This window comes from Homo sapiens, chromosome 20, assembly GCF_000001405.40.
Source record: "Homo sapiens chromosome 20, GRCh38.p14 Primary Assembly".
Classification (NCBI taxonomy): Eukaryota; Metazoa; Chordata; class Mammalia; order Primates; family Hominidae; genus Homo; species Homo sapiens.
In genome coordinates, this window is record NC_000020.11 from 17,926,542 (window position 1) to 17,941,599 (window position 15,058).

Genomic DNA, 15,058 nt, shown 5'->3' on the forward strand with positions numbered 1-15,058 from the left:
CTCACAGTGTTGTTGGTAAGATCAGGTACAGCTCTCAGACAAAGGTCGAGGTTATCAGCATGAAACCGTGGCACTATTCTGTGTGCCAGGCAAAGGGAGCCACAGGTTAGTCTGAGTTGGGTATTCTGGGGCTTTTGAACTCTAGGTGGTCACATGGAGACTTTAAGGTAGAATGAACATAAGCCGTAAAAGACAGCAGAGTTGGAGCCTACTGGGCTCCGCCTGGTTTTAACTGCTCCCAACACAACAATCACAACTGCCAATCTCCAAGTTCCAAAGAACTGGCTCTGCCAACGACTCAGAAATAAGTTTTGAGCATAATCTAGCCCGTAGTTGATATCAAGCAGAAGATGTGATCTGTGGTTCTCATAGCTCACAATCTATGCAGAACCCAAAGAGAATATGTAACAATTAACTGAGCAAAACCAGCAGCAAATCCTGGAACATCGTGTGGAACTAGAAGAAGATGGTGGTTTGTTGAAAGAACACAGGAGCCCTGAAGGAGCTCCAAATGGTCAAGGTTGGAAGAATTTAAACAATAAGAAAAATAATGATAGTTTAGGACAATAACCCATAGAGTTAAATAAATGTCCACAAGTCCACACTGATATAAGTATTTGATTAAATAAGTCAATAGGGAAGTGACAGCTCTTCCTTGCAATGAAAATCCAGTCAATCCATGCGGAAGGAAGGAGCAAAGGAGAAATCAGCATTAGGTCAACACCACAGTGGTGATTGTTGCAGACAAGAGCTGCTAATAGACAACAGAATAGGTGGAAGGTTTGAGGAAAAAAGGGGTTTGCAAAGCCTTAAGTATCTCTTCCAGGAGGTTTGTTGACAAGGGTGGGGTTTGGGGACAGAAAAAACATTACCAAGGAAAAGCCCATCAGAGACCACTTGACCAGGTGATCAGGGCCATCATCACAGACGTAAGCCATCAACGCCATGCCCCCGTGACACGTGCAGTGAGCAGGATGCAGCCCCAGGCCTCTGGCGCCCTTGCCTGGGATGCACAACCTGAGCCCAAGTTCAGACAGGCCTGAACTAAGAGACTTCTGCAAAGTAACTGATCAATACTCTTCATGGGTATCTAGGTCCTGAAAGACAAGGAATGACCAAGGAACTATTATAGAGTCTAGAAGACTAGAGAGAAAAAAACAACTATATGCAAATGCGGGATCCTGGATGGGATTCTGGAGCAAGAAAAAGACGTTAATGGGAAAACCAGTGAAGTTCACACGGGATCTTTGGTTTGATTAAGGCTGCTGTACTGAGGTTAATTTCCTGGTTCTGATTACTGTGCTATGGCTTTGCAAATTGTGCTATGGTTTTGCAAGATTGGGGTCAACTGCTGGAGGGACATAGAGAAGTTGCCTGTACCAGGCTTGCAAATTTTCTGCTACTTTTACTACTAGTTTTCTAAAAGTGGGTCAAAATATAAAGGTTTTTTAAAAAAGCATCAAATGTCCAGTTTTTCAGCAGTATCTTTATTAGAAAAGGAACAATCCCCACATTGTGTTGATGTGAGCAGTACTCAAAACTGAGGCAACAGATCTCAAAATATTTTGGCATGTGGGAGTGGGGAGGTAAAGGCTGAAGCCTCCTCTGTCCGAAGCATGCCCCCGAGGCTGGGAGGAGGCAAAAATGACAAATCACATCTGAATCTGTTTGGCAGAAAAAATGTCCAGTGACCTGTCCGAGGGCCAGTCACACATTTATCAGGAGTATTAGCAGCTCCGCATTCCCAGTGCAGGTCTCCCAGGTCCACGCCCTAGCCTCAGCCCAGGACAGGCTCTGATTTCTCCGAAAATGATGTGCAAATCTGTTTCAAACCACATGACCTTTTGCCACAACCTCTTTGTGGCTTGTTCTATTGGATCAGAAGCCAGGAGTATTTTCGGAACATTGCTAATGCTCTGAGCATCTCAGTTCTAGGCCTGTAGGCCACATATGATGTGCGTTGGGCCAGAGGCCCAGGTCAAGGTGTCTCGAGGGAAATTGGAGTCAATGGTGAAGTGAGAAAGCTCTTGTGAGGCCTTTGGCCCCAGTGGGAGGGCCAGGGACAGAGGTGGGCCTGCCTGGTGAGCCCACCTGCAGGCAAGAGGCACCCTGGGGAGGTGCCAGGAAGCAGGGCGCAAGGCAAGGAGGCAGGAACAGCCACGTCTGCTCCTGCCCTTTAAACAAATACCAGGCTGTTCGAGTCCAGAGAAGAAATAAATATTGACAAAGGTGCGGAGCGGCAGGAAGGCCAGGTGGCCGAGGCCCCAGAAGGAACATGGCCTAGATAGGGTCTCCTGGGATGACTGCGAGGAAGCCTCAGCCCCGAGCCACCCTCCCCAGGGGCCCTTGGCGAGGCTGCCTCTACGGAGGTCCTTCCCCCGTCTCGGCAGGTGCTTCGGCACCTTGAGGGCTTGGACTCAGGCTGTCAGGATGAGGAGCCTATCCACGGGATCAGTTGCTGGTGTTTGCCAAAGGTGTGTCCCAGAGGGGCCACCCGTAGCCTCTGACGGTGCCACGGCTGGAAGGCCCTGGCCAAACACCTGTCCCACTTCAACAGCGCGTTCAGTGGATCCCCCAAACCAAAGGGCCTGCTGGCGTTCTTCAGTGAGCTTCTCAAAGTGTGGGTGCAGGGCTCTCAATAGAGGCCCCTGGGCGCTGGGTAAGAGGCACATTCCTGAGCCCACACCTACCCCTCCAGGACACTGCAGGTCGAAGCTCAGGAATGTGCATTTTCACCACCTTCCCTAGTGATTTTAGGCAGAGGGCTCATTAGAGCCAAGTAACAGAAGAGGAAGCGAAGTCTCAGAGAGGGAGCAGCACTCTTTGGCAGCACAGGGAGTGAGGGGCAGCGAGGGAGGAGGGTCCAGGGCAGAGTGAAGTGGCCACACCTGCTCTGTCCCTTGGCTGGAAACAGCCTAATGGTCCAGACGACCCCCTGGGCTATGGGAGCTCAAATCACTTCCCGCCAGAAGGCTTCTCTGACCCCTCACCTCCAGCCCAGGGAGATGCCCCTGCCTGTCCCCTGGGCTCCGCGGCCCCTGGGCTTCCTGCTCCCCTGGCACTGGGCACACTGGAATGCAAATAACCACCGACCCTTGAATGTCCCCACCAGCATGGTGCCTGGCGTGTAGTGGATACGGCCGGGATGCAGGTGCTTGAGCCATGCCATCAGGAATCTCTCCCATCATCTCAGTCCTGCCTTCCCTTCTATGGCCCCCTGCAGTCCCCACTAACCCCAGCTTGCCCTGCAGCTCCAACAGAATGGGAGTGCATCCCCAACTATCAGCCCGGCCACAGTCCCGGGGCTCCCTGTCCTTGGACTGCCAGGGGTCAGGTGCCAGTGTGTGAGCCAGTATCTGTGGCTGGATGCAAGGAGATGAGGCTCCCCTAGGCTAGACCCCAGTGCTCTGGCCACAGCTGCATGCGGGGTGGGGGCAGCCTACCAGAAAGGGCAAGACTGGAAGTGGGGAGGTGCCCCACAGGAAAACCGGGATTCTACCAAGGGCAGGAGGCTGGGCAGGCGGAAACCAGCACCATCCACTCCAGCCCACCTGCCCTCCTGACCTCCCACAATGGCTGCTCTGATGACCAGAAGGTTCCTCAGAAGCCAGTTAAATCTGTTTCTCCTACCCCACACACCTGGCTCTGCCTCTTCCTTTGTTCCCTTGGTGGTCCTGAAAGGCTGGCTGGCTGCTGTCACGTTCCCCACCAACCACCCCAAACCCCACTCCCCTGCCCTCGGGGTATCCCTGGTCCCCCCCACCTTCTCATATGTGCAGTCTTCATGTCGTGGATTCCAGACCCCGGCCCTGCTGGCTGCCTGCCCAGCCAAGAACACCTGCCGTGGACACCTCCCCACGCCTGGGCCACCACCTGCCCAGTCCTCATCACCCGCCATCCAAAAAGTCACTCTGGTGTTGAAGACTCATCTAAACCTGGACCCCAAAATGCTACTGGCATTTAGTCACTATTCCACAGGCCCGTTCTGATTATTTGTTATTTTATTTTATTTGAGGCAGGGTCTTGCTCTGTCACCCAGGCTGGAGTGCAATGGTGCAATCACTAGCTCACTGCAGCCTTGATTTTCTGGGCTCAGATGATCCTCCCACCTCAGCCTCCCAAGTAGCTGGGACCACAGGCACACACCACCATGCCCAGCTAATTTTTTTATTTTTTGGTAGAGACAGGGTCTCCCTATGTTGCCCAGGCTGCGTGATTTTAAAAACATAAATATCTCCAAATTATCTGACCCTCCTAGAGATGAAATCTCCCTGTGGCCGCTGTTCTTTTTTTTTTTTTTTTTTTTGAGATGGAGTCTCTCCATGCTGCCCAGGCTGAGCTTGAACTCCTGGCCTCAAGCTATCCTCCTGCCTCAGCCTCCCAAAATGCTGTGACTACAGGTGTGAGACATGGCACCAAGCCTGTGGCCACTTTTTCTTTATTTTCACATGAGATAAAGACACCACCTGAGAAAGTATTTGAGTGTGTGTGTGTGTGTGTGTGTGTGTGTGTAGCTGGGGTATGGAGTCACATGTGCGTGTGGGAAACAAGCCTGAAGGGTTGCTTTGGCACATCACCTCTGGGTCTTGCCATTGCAGTGATTTATTTGCTTTTCTGTATTTTCTACCTTAACATGTAATTTTGGGGAAATTAAAAAATCAATTTAAGAAACTTAATGGATAAACAAAAGACAGTCAATACTGGAAAAGGCACAAATCATGAAGGTAAACCCATAGGCATGGATGTGAATCTCAGCAGTGTGTGGTCTTGGGCAAGTGGCTTGTGCCTTTGCCTCTCTGAGGCCTGGTTTCTCACCCCCCCAAAATGGGGGATTATATAGTAAATGGCAAAAGTGGCTGTAATCTTTGCCACTTCTCCCATCAAAAGATAGAGTTTGTTTTCCCTCCCCCTGAATCTAGGCTGCCCTTGTAAGTTGTTTTGGTTAGTGAAATGCAGGAGAAGGGATGGTGTGCTTGTTCCAAGTGGACCTCAAGGGCCTTGCAGCTTCTACTCACTCTCTTGGAACCCCGCCCAGCTGCCATGAGAACAGCCTGGGCTAGCCCACTGGAGGATGAGAGCCCACACAGAACTAAGACAAGCTATCTCAGTTGACCCCATTCTGAGCCAGCCAGCTGGCCCCAGCAGACCTGGAAGTTGACCTCTGACAACTGAGTGAGCCCAGCTACCAGAAGAACTGCCCAGCTGAGCACAGCCATTAGAAATAAATAGTTTGGGCTGGGTGCAGTGGCTCACACCTGTAATCCCAGCACTCTGGGAGGCCAAGGTGGGTGGATCATGAGGTCAGGAGATCAAGACCATCCTGTGAATGGTGAAACCCCATCTCTACTAAAATTAAAAATACAAAAAAAAAAATTAGCCGGGTGTGGTAGTGGGCACCTGTAGTCCCAGCTACTCAGGAGGCTGAGGCGGGAATGGTGTGAACCCGGGAGGCAGAGCTTGCAGCTAGCCGAGATCATGCCACTGCACTCCAGCCTGGGCGACAGAGCAAGACTCCTTCTCAAAAATAAATAAATAAATAAAATAAACAGTTTGGGGGTAGTTTGTTATGTAGCTAACAACAGCTGACAAACACACTAAACATGCCCCTAACTTATGACCTTTGCCCTTGCTCTTTGCTCTGCCTGAAACCCCACTCCCTGCAAACTCCATGGGCCTTTTCTCTCTCACTGCCTTCAGGTCTCTGCTCAGTGAGGTCTCCCCTGGCCAGTCCATATAAAAAGCCCCTCTCCCATCACTCTCCTTCGTATATATCTTGCCATAGCACTTACCACCTCGCTTCTTTATGTATTTACTTGCTTATTTGTTTATTGTCTCTCTTCCCCCAACACACACACCATGGAATATGAGTGTCATGGGGGCAAGGAGATTCTCTATTTTGTCTACCACTATTAGCGCCCAGCACCTGGTAGGGGTTCAGATATTTGTGGAATAAACAAGTTCATCTTTTGCCTTAGGGGCTCCCATCCAGCTGGCCACAGCGCTCTCACTAAGAAGACGTATTCTGGGCACCTCCCAGCTGCCCGCCTGGCTCTGGGCCCTCAATCCCTGAATGACAGTGGTCACTGCACTTGAATAACCCTCTAGAGTGTAAAGGGACTTCCTCCTTTCCTGCAACCCACTAATGGGGTCTGCAGACCCCACTCTCCAGCCCTGTTTCTCAGGTGAGATAACTGAGGCGGAGAGACTAGTGCAGGTGTAGGGACACAGGTATCTTGTGGCACATCTTGCCTGGTGCTCCCTCAGGCCATTGGACAGAGGCACCTCCTCCCACCACCAAGAGCTGGGCCAGGCATCAGGGATCCCTGGTCTGAGCCTTTTCTTCTCCTAACTTGCATTGAGACCTGAACAGTCCCTAACAGGGAGACAAAAAAAACTTCTCAACAGTGAGAAGCCTCTGACAATCCCAGCACCTCATTAAATAGACTTTCATCATTTCATGCAAAGCTACCAAAGGAAAGAAAACATCAGGGGCTGTTAGACCTTGGCCAGGGGTCCCCTCAACTCTCAGAGCGTCAGGAAGGCTGAGGAAGAGGGGTGAGGGGGAGGGTCCCCCGCAGCCTCTGGCTGGCCTCACCCAGCCATCTCCCATGGCACCTCCTGCCCTGGTCAGAAGCCCTCCTGCCCTCCTGGGCACTCAGGGGAAATCCTCTGCAACTTGGGATGAAAACCACAGAGCAAGAGTCCCTGGAATTCACGTGTGACTGCTTGGTAATGTTGCCTTAGCCCAGCTTTCCCCAAGAGCTGACCCAAAAGGAAGATTCAAGCAGAAGCATTTTGTGGGGGGATGGCCCCAGGAAGCCCCAGTAGGAGTGTGTGCTAACTCTGGGCATTCCCAGCTTGGTGGAGTGTGCCCCTGCCATCAGGGGTGCCCTTGAGAAGAGAGGCAGGCAGGTCCTGATGTAGGATGCCACTGGGTGTGCAGGAAGGAACTGCAGGTGACTTTGGGGGTCCAGGGCCCTGAGGAAAACTGAGAACAGCACTGCTGATCCCAGGGGAGGGGATGGAGAGCAAAGGGTGACTCTAGGGAGGCATTTCAGCAGAGGAGACCCATGAGAAGGGGAGGACCCTCCATCTTCAGGCTGGGTATTGAATTTTCCAAGCCCACCTGGCTAACGACTTTGCCCCCAGAGGCACTTGAGCAAAGGGCCAGCCCCAGCCAGAGCCAGGAGAGCAGGCTCTGCACTGCCGCAGGAGAGCTGCTAGCCCAGCCTGGCTACACCATGGAAGCCCAAAGACAGGAGCTCTTTTACAGAAATGAAACCCCTAGAATTAGTCCCCAGACCAATGGCTCTGCATGCAAAGGCACAGACAGCATAGACTGAAAGTCTACTGTGTGCATAGCTGCAGCCAGGAGATGGGCAGGGGCCCATAAGAGAACACCAAGGTCATGTTCATTAAGCATTCACTGAGGCTGTGCATGGCCTACCTCAGCGCTCACAGCCCCTCCTCCTAGTGGCAACTACGACTCTCCCCTGAGATAGGACCGGTATTCCAAACACCTCTCCGGGGCAGGCAGGGGTGGCAGCCCCTTCACTAACTGGACTCTCCTTTTGTGCTCAGAGTAACCCCCCTCCCATTTTACCAACGTGGAAAGGGATGAGCTTCAGGAGCTTGGCCATGGTCACCGGTGCCAGGGAGTGAGACAGAGGCAGAACCCTGGGAGGCCTGGGTGATTCAAACACATCACAGAGTCTTTACCCTAAGGGAGCTGCAATCCAGCCGGGGAAATAAGACCCCGAGGAAAATGAGCAAGAGCAGTTAAACCGCAACATAAGGCAATAATACAAGGAGGCTACCACCCAGAGCCGGACATTCCACACCCAGCAGTCGGCCTCGCCGCCTCCCGCCCGCTTCTTCTTGTAAGGGCCTTTCTCAAGAAGTGGCTAAAAAGGGACTTAGGATAGCACTTGGCGGACAAAAGGGGTTGTTGGCCCCTGCTCTAAAACATTTGCCAACACATCTTCCCATCCCCTAGGGCTTTAAGAATGATCCCCACCCTTAGCTAGTCAGTGGCTGCAAAGCAGCCCCTTTCATTAAGCCAGGGAGGGGGGTCCAGTGGAAACTGAGCCCCCGATCTTTGGGAAACTGCTGAGGAGGCTATAAAATTAGAGAGAAGGACGAGCAAATTACAGAGAGGGAGTGGGCAGGCAGCAGGGCCTTTCATCAGCCTGATTAGCTAAGGAAAGAGGCCCAGCCATGGGGGAGGAAGGCCAGGGGAGGTCGCCGGCTACCTCCTGGGGGATTGAGGGCCCCTCCAAAGTTCAGGGGCCTCAGCCCAGGCTTCTGCCTTCAGGTCAAACCTGTCCTTGCACAGTAGGGGGAGGACCCAACATTTTACCGGGATGCACCATTTCTCACCCTCTGACTCTGGGGCCTGGCTGAATCTCCTGGAGTCTCATTCTCCTCATCTGTAAAACAGCCCCGGCTCACAGGATGTAACTGTGACTGAACTAAACAAGTGGTTGGTTCTCAACCCTAGCTGTACATCAGGACCACCAGGTGAAGACATGTTAAACCTCCAATACTTAGGCTGTACCCTGTACTATTGATATCAGAATCTTTGGTGGGGGGTGGGGAGGGTTGGGTGGGAACATCCCAAGCACAGGGACAACTGGAACAGAGGGCCTGCGCAGGAGAGCCTGGGGTGTCCTGGAACAGGTGTGGCTGGATGGGGATGAAGGAGAGGGATGGCACAGGAGGGAAGTTCACAGAGGTCAGGGGAGCTCAGCTACACTTGCAGATCACAAACCACCCCACATTTCATGCAGGAAACAACCACAATAAAACCACCACCATTTTATTGTGCTTGGGCTTCTGGGAGGCTAGAGTCTGGACAGGCCTTAGTGGGAATGACTCGTCTCTGTTACATAACATCTGGGGCTTCAGCTAGGAAGATGTGAGTGTCTTGCGGGGGCAACTGTCTAATACAGTAGCCCCTAGGCTCATGTGACTATTTAAACAGAAATTAATTAAAATTAAGCAAAATAAAAACTTAGCTTCCTCAATTGCACCAGCCACATTCCAGGTGCTTAATAGAGAAGTGCCAGACTTGGCTGGGCGCAGTGGCTCACGCCTGCAATCCCAGCACTTTGGGAGGCCGAGGTGAGAGGAACCCTTGAGCTCAGGAGTTCGAGACCAGCCTGGGCAATACAGGTAGACCCTGTCTCTGTAAAAAATAAAAAATTAAAATAATTTTTACAAAAGAGAGAATTGCCATACTTGGCAGATAAAAATACAGGACACCCAGTGAAATCCGAATTTTAAATAATCAACAAATTTTTTTTTAGAATAACTATGTTCCAAATATTGCATGGTATGTATTACACTATATTATTTGTTGTATGGAATTCAAATTTGGCAGTGTTCCATGTTTTATCTAAATCCCAGCTAACATGTGGCTAACGACCACTAGGCTGGACGGCACAGATACCGAACATTCCCGTCACACAGAAAGTCCTTATGAACACTGCTGCTCTGGAGAGGTCTTCACTCACCTGTCTGCTTCCTGGGCTGGGAGGACGTGAAGACGGGGCTTCACTGGAATGTGGGACCTCTGTATCTGGCGTGGGTCCTCACGGATGGCAACCACATTCCAAGAGAGTGGCCCAAGAGCAAGGCTTCCTCCGCTCTGTACCTGGAGGTTACCCGCCAGCGTCACTTCTGTCCTGTTCTGGTGGGTTACACATGTGCCATTCCAGCCAACCCAGGTTCAAGAGGAGGGGGATCCGATTCCTTCTGATGGGAAAGCTGCAAGATCACATTACAGAAGAGTATACGGGACTGGAAATATTGTTGGAAAATACAACGTTGGAGTTGGGGACATCAAATCACGTAGGGCTTTGTAGTTGTTGGAAGGACTGGGGCTTTGAGTCAAACAGGGAGTCATGAAGGGTATTTGCAGAGTAGGGTCACAATCTGACTCATGTGCGAAGAAGATTCCTTTGGCTGTTGCAAGTGAATAAAACGTAGGGGGTGAAGGCAGAGTCTGGGAGTTTCCTTAGGTTGTACCTAGCCCTAAACTAAACTGAAATCAGACCCCAGCCTAGTACTTGGTGGTGGAGTTGGCATGACGATCCCAGCTTCTGGACCCTATTTCCCTCTTCCCTGCAACAAGGACCCTTGCAAGTAGCCCCTCCCCTCACACCAGCTTCACCTCTTGCCCCCAATTCTGAGGCGAGTCACATCTGGTCAGTTTCACTCCCCCGCCCCCTCCTATGGCGACAAGTGCTTTAACAGACAGTGCAAAAGGGGTCAAAAGCACTGCAGACATGAACCAGACTTTAGAAAAACACATAGCGCGAGCCCTGTTGGGATTCGCAGCAGGCGTTTCCAATGTTTTTCTCGAGACTGCAGGCTTGGGATTTCCTGTCTTCTGAGGCATTCGCTGAGCAGGCCAAGATCAGCTTCATAGGAAGGCAGGAATGGGGCTTCCTACATTGCTGTCTGCAGGCTCTCTCTGGCTCCTTTCCTCTCCTCCCCTTAGGGTCTTTTTTGTGTATTCTTTCTCCTACTTCTGACACTTTTTCTGCCCCCAGATAAATGTCCAGCCACCTGCCTCCCAACAGGACTGAATCACGGGATCATGATACAATCAACAAATCCAAGGAGCTGAGAGGCCCCGGGAGCTGCAGCTGCATCCAGCTGGAATCTTGAAGGCTGGCTCTAGCTACGGGTTTCCACCCTCATGCGAAGTGTGCCAACTGCTTCGCAGAAACCTCCTAACTTCAGCAGGGCAGAGCAATGGGAAGCTATGTCAAGAATTGCTATGGGTATCCGGCCTGATTTAGGGGTAACTGATACACAGCCTAACACCGCACAGCACCGTTCTTATTAACTGTTCCTTGACTTTGCCCTGTCTTAGGTTGACCGTCCAGAGCATGGGTCATCCCCTCCCTGTCTTTTTGCAATGTAGAGAGGATGGGGTAAACAACAAACACATGACCTCCATTCCCTCTCCAAACCCCATCAGAACAACTGGAAAGGATCTGCAATGTAACAGTTAAAAAGTAAGGCCGTTCATAAACAGTTCCTGAAACCCAAGCAGCTGGCCAGTCTCCTGCTCCATTTCCTTGCAGCAAGTTTCAGTGGAAACTCTATACCCCAAACCCCCAAATCCCTACCCTTTGACTGATGCGAAAAATCCCCCCAAACAGGCCTTTGTTCCTTTAGCTGAGGACACACCAAATGTATTAATGAACGTGGATAAGAGCTGGAAGGCAACTATCAGAAGTGGCTGTGGACTAGGATTACAGGCTGTTATTTTCCTGGCCTGAATATTACAGGTCCCACAACTTAAGAAGCTTTAAAGGAGGTTTGTAAAGCATGTATTAAAAAATAAGGCAGGCCCAGTTGGGCAGTGGCTCATGCCTGTAATCCCGTTTTGGGAGGCTGAGATGGGAGGACTGTTTGAGGCCAGGAGTTCAAGACCACCCAGGGCAATATAACAAGACCCGTCTCTACAAAGATTTTTTTAAAAAAATTACTCAGGCATGGTGGCGTGTGCCTGTAATCCCAGTTACTTGGGAGGCTGAGGTGGGAGGATGGCTTCAGCCCAGGAGCTGGAGGCTGTCATGAGCCATGACCGCACCACTGCACTCCAGCCTGGGCAACAGTGAGACCCTGTCTCAGAAACAACCAACCAACCAAAAAAAAGAAAGGCTCAATTAAAAATTAAAATCCTCCCAAACAGCTACCTAAACCATTCACAACTTCTAGCTAATGAAGACTTTGGTTGGGTGGGGTGGTTGCTGAAGGCAGGGAAGAGGCTGGGAGGCTCAGGGCCTCTGTGCTTGTCTGCAGGGGGCCCTCACCTCTTCCTCATGGGAAGCAGGCCGTGGAAGGACAAAGATGCAAAAGAGCTGTTTTGGGGCCTCAGGAAAACTCCTCCATGGATCTCCACGGAGAGAGAGAACCAACAGCAGAAAACCTCCAGAATCCAACCCCAATGCTGGCATCCTGAATCGTTTTTTGTAAACAATTCCTATTCGGATAGGAAAAAAATCTAGAAACATTTAATAACTTATTCTTGAGATGTGGTATTTTACTGTTATTTTGTTTTACAAGATGTGGGGACTTCATTAAATCCCTACATGTATTAAAGTTAGAAATAAACATTAAAACCAAAAAAGTCAATGGTTTTGAATGGTGACAAACCAAACCTCCAATAAGAAATCACTGTGGGCAGCTCACCCACGCAAGGGGCACCTTGTGTATGTGCGAGGAGTGGATGGGGAAGGGCGTCCCCTGGACCTTGCAGACCCAGCTGTGTCTAAAGGACATAACTGATCACTGCCCAAATGTTGTCCACCACCCCCAACTTCCTTCCAGACACATCACATGGCCTGGCTGTGAACCCCCATCAACATCACAACTGTTTTGACACCAGGCTCAGATGGGGAGTTCTCGAACAGCATGGCCTCAGCAATGGAGGTTGTGTCTTGGGTAACCAGAAACCTGAAGCCCGCAGGAATCCTGGAGGGGACTGCTGGTCTGGGAAAACACCATTCAGAACTACTTAACTCTCAAGTAGCCTGACATTTCTCTTCCTGCTACCTTAGCTATAAGCTGATAATCTGAGCAGCTCTGCGGGGATACCAGGCTCCTGCTCAGCTGTGGGTGGGCAGGTGGCTGTGCTGGGTCGCCCCTGCCGCCTACAGGCAGAAAGCGGATGGTGCAAGGTTTCCTTCCAAACGGAAATCGCCCTTCACAGAGCTGAGCCTGGGAATTACCACAAAGAAACCTCACAAAGAAAAGGTGCGCAAGGCAAATGTTCAGAAAACAGACCCCTAAACCCTGAGATGGCACAAGTGAATGTGTTGGGTGGTGAACTGGCCAAATGCTTGTGCTCTGTCACCACAAACGACCCCAGTGGTCTGACATGACCTCAACGGCTTCACAGACCAGGGGTGTGCTTTCCTTCCTCGTGACAATCTCCTAATTTTGCTTTTCAGAGTGGGGGAGGGCGGGGAGAGGGGAGGTGGATGGCAGTTGTCCCTGTTGTCTAGTCTGGAGTACAGTGGTGTGATTTTAACTTACTACAGCCTTGAACTCCTGGGCACAAGCAGTCCTCCCACCACCTCAGCCCTCCAGGTGTATGCCACCACTGTAGGTTAGCATTTTTTGTAGACACGGTTGCGCTGTTTCTCAGGCTGGATCCTAGCTTTTAATGAAATCGTATGACATGTGAACTGTGCAGTTTTGCGTGTGCCACGAGGCAACTTTCTCAGCCGTGCCTTGGGCAAGTCACAGCCTTTTTGGCCTGGATGCCTTAAGGCAGCCCATCTGAAACCACTTCCCATTCCCATTTCTAGAAACCTTCAAGGGTTCCCTATGAATTGTGCACCCACATGGGTTTTCCTGGAGGATCACTAGTTCTCAGAACCATACAAGCACACAGCAAAAGCCTCTCCACACATCACCCTGAAGTGACCCAAATTCCCATTTCTCAATGTGGGACCTATGCTCTCCTGCACTCCAGCAAGATAGCTGTGGATTCCCACCTGATGCTGTTCCTCCTGCTGCCAAGTGCCTGCCTGCCTTTCCAGGTCTCAGCACACCACACAGGTCGCAGTCAGCATCTAAACCCATCCCCCCACCCCAGACCACTATGAATGCACCCTCACATACAGGTAAAGGTAGCAACTCACTAGGTGACTGACAGAAGGGGAAAGGTGACTACATCCCTGACCCAGAGTGCCTCAAATTTCCTAAGTGACTGTCAGGTGCAATTTAATGAAAAGCCTTGGAACAAATACAGCAGGTAAAACATCTACAATCATACCATCCATGAAGGCTGTATTAGAGATTGCTGGCATAAAACTAATTTGAGGGGCCTCTGAAGTGCTGACTCCAGCTCACAGATCAGTCAGCTGAGAGAGGCAGCCTAGATCACTTGGTGAGCAGCAGACCCAGCACTCAAGATTCATGCCTCTGCTGTCCATTTGACAAGGTTTAGTCTCAAGAAAATGCACCAAGGCCCCGAGGCCAACAGCCAGAGCTCCACCAATCAGGGCTGATCACACTGGTGCTCAAGCACTGCGGCCCAGGAACCTGACTGCAGGAGTGCTGGCTCTACACTAACAGAATGCTGGGCGTGTGTGGGTGGCTGCTGTGGACATTATGGGGGAGATGGGTAGGAAGGACAGATTTGGTTAGGAGCCCAGACTGAAGTTACAACTGCCAAGTTTAAATTCACTCATTTTGTGCACCGTTTCCCAAGTATGTACTGTGAAGGTAGAAGGCACTGTGGCCGCCTGTAAATAGCTGGGGAGGCAAGACACGAAGACCAGATAAATGTTAAGAAACATGCTCCCTGTATGTATTGAAATCAGTTCTGCAACCCTCATACCAGTTGGCTGTAACAGATGCTAAATGTGGTGGGTAAAATGTTTTTAGTCTCATGGTCTTACCATGAATTACTTATTAGAAAGGTAAAGGAGATTACCACCCTAAGTGCTCAGTCATCAACAAAGGAATAGACACACAACTCCTGAAGACATGTCATTGGCACCAGGGAGTGGTTTCGTGGAAGACAATTTTTCCATGGACAAGGTGGGGTGTGGAAAGGGATGGCTTCCAGATGAAACCATTCCACATCAGATCATCAGGCATTTGATTCTCCTAAGGAGCGCACAACCTAGACCTGTTGCATGCCCAGTTCACAATACTGGGTTTGCACTCCTATGAGAATCTAATGCTGCTGCTAATCTGACAGGAGGCGAACCTCAGGCGGCAATGCTGGCTCACCTCTTCCTAACAAGCCATGGACCTGAGACTGGGGACCACTGCCCTATGGTAAAGGCCCTGGCCAAAATGCAAACCTCCATCAGGTCAGGAGCAAACAGACAAACCCACATTTAGAGACCATCTAAAAAAGGCCTGGAGTACTTAAGAATGTCAAGACTAGGACAAATTTCCCCTGACCGCCCCCAGGACTCTGGGCAGAACCTGAAAACCCTGTAACCACAGCCAAACCCTAGCACCACCTGCACTCCTGGGACACACTCTGGTTGTAGTTTCCACGAAAACAGGCCGTACA

The 15,058-nt window shown here is 50.9% G+C and overlaps 8 annotated features.

Moving 5' to 3' along the window:
* Positions 2,716-3,242: an enhancer, noted in NCBI's record as "H3K4me1 hESC enhancer chr20:17909901-17910427 (GRCh37/hg19 assembly coordinates)". NCBI's record gives its function as "activates a minimal SCP1, AML or CMV promoter by ChIP-STARR-seq in naive H9 embryonic stem cells {active_cell/tissue: H9 hESC(naive)}" and the evidence as "EXISTENCE:reporter gene assay evidence [ECO:0000049][PMID:30033119]".
* Positions 4,981-5,181: a silencer, noted in NCBI's record as "peak4160 fragment used in MPRA reporter construct". NCBI's record gives its function as "represses an SCP1 promoter by STARR-seq MPRAs in K562 erythroleukemia cells {active_cell/tissue: K562}" and the evidence as "EXISTENCE:reporter gene assay evidence [ECO:0000049][PMID:32103011]".
* Positions 12,171-12,764: an enhancer, noted in NCBI's record as "NANOG-H3K27ac-H3K4me1 hESC enhancer chr20:17919356-17919949 (GRCh37/hg19 assembly coordinates)". NCBI's record gives its function as "activates a minimal SCP1, AML or CMV promoter by ChIP-STARR-seq in primed H9 embryonic stem cells {active_cell/tissue: H9 hESC(primed)}" and the evidence as "EXISTENCE:reporter gene assay evidence [ECO:0000049][PMID:30033119]".
* Positions 12,397-12,526: an enhancer, noted in NCBI's record as "active region_17569". NCBI's record gives its function as "activates an Ori minimal core promoter by ATAC-STARR-seq in GM12878 lymphoblastoid cells {active_cell/tissue: GM12878}" and the evidence as "EXISTENCE:reporter gene assay evidence [ECO:0000049][PMID:35858748]".
* Positions 13,767-13,856: an enhancer, noted in NCBI's record as "active region_17570". NCBI's record gives its function as "activates an Ori minimal core promoter by ATAC-STARR-seq in GM12878 lymphoblastoid cells {active_cell/tissue: GM12878}" and the evidence as "EXISTENCE:reporter gene assay evidence [ECO:0000049][PMID:35858748]".
* Positions 13,887-13,976: an enhancer, noted in NCBI's record as "active region_17571". NCBI's record gives its function as "activates an Ori minimal core promoter by ATAC-STARR-seq in GM12878 lymphoblastoid cells {active_cell/tissue: GM12878}" and the evidence as "EXISTENCE:reporter gene assay evidence [ECO:0000049][PMID:35858748]".
* Positions 13,887-14,543: a biological region, named in NCBI's record as "H3K4me1 hESC enhancer GRCh37_chr20:17921137-17921728".
* Positions 13,952-14,543: an enhancer, noted in NCBI's record as "H3K4me1 hESC enhancer chr20:17921137-17921728 (GRCh37/hg19 assembly coordinates)". NCBI's record gives its function as "activates a minimal SCP1, AML or CMV promoter by ChIP-STARR-seq in naive H9 embryonic stem cells {active_cell/tissue: H9 hESC(naive)}" and the evidence as "EXISTENCE:reporter gene assay evidence [ECO:0000049][PMID:30033119]".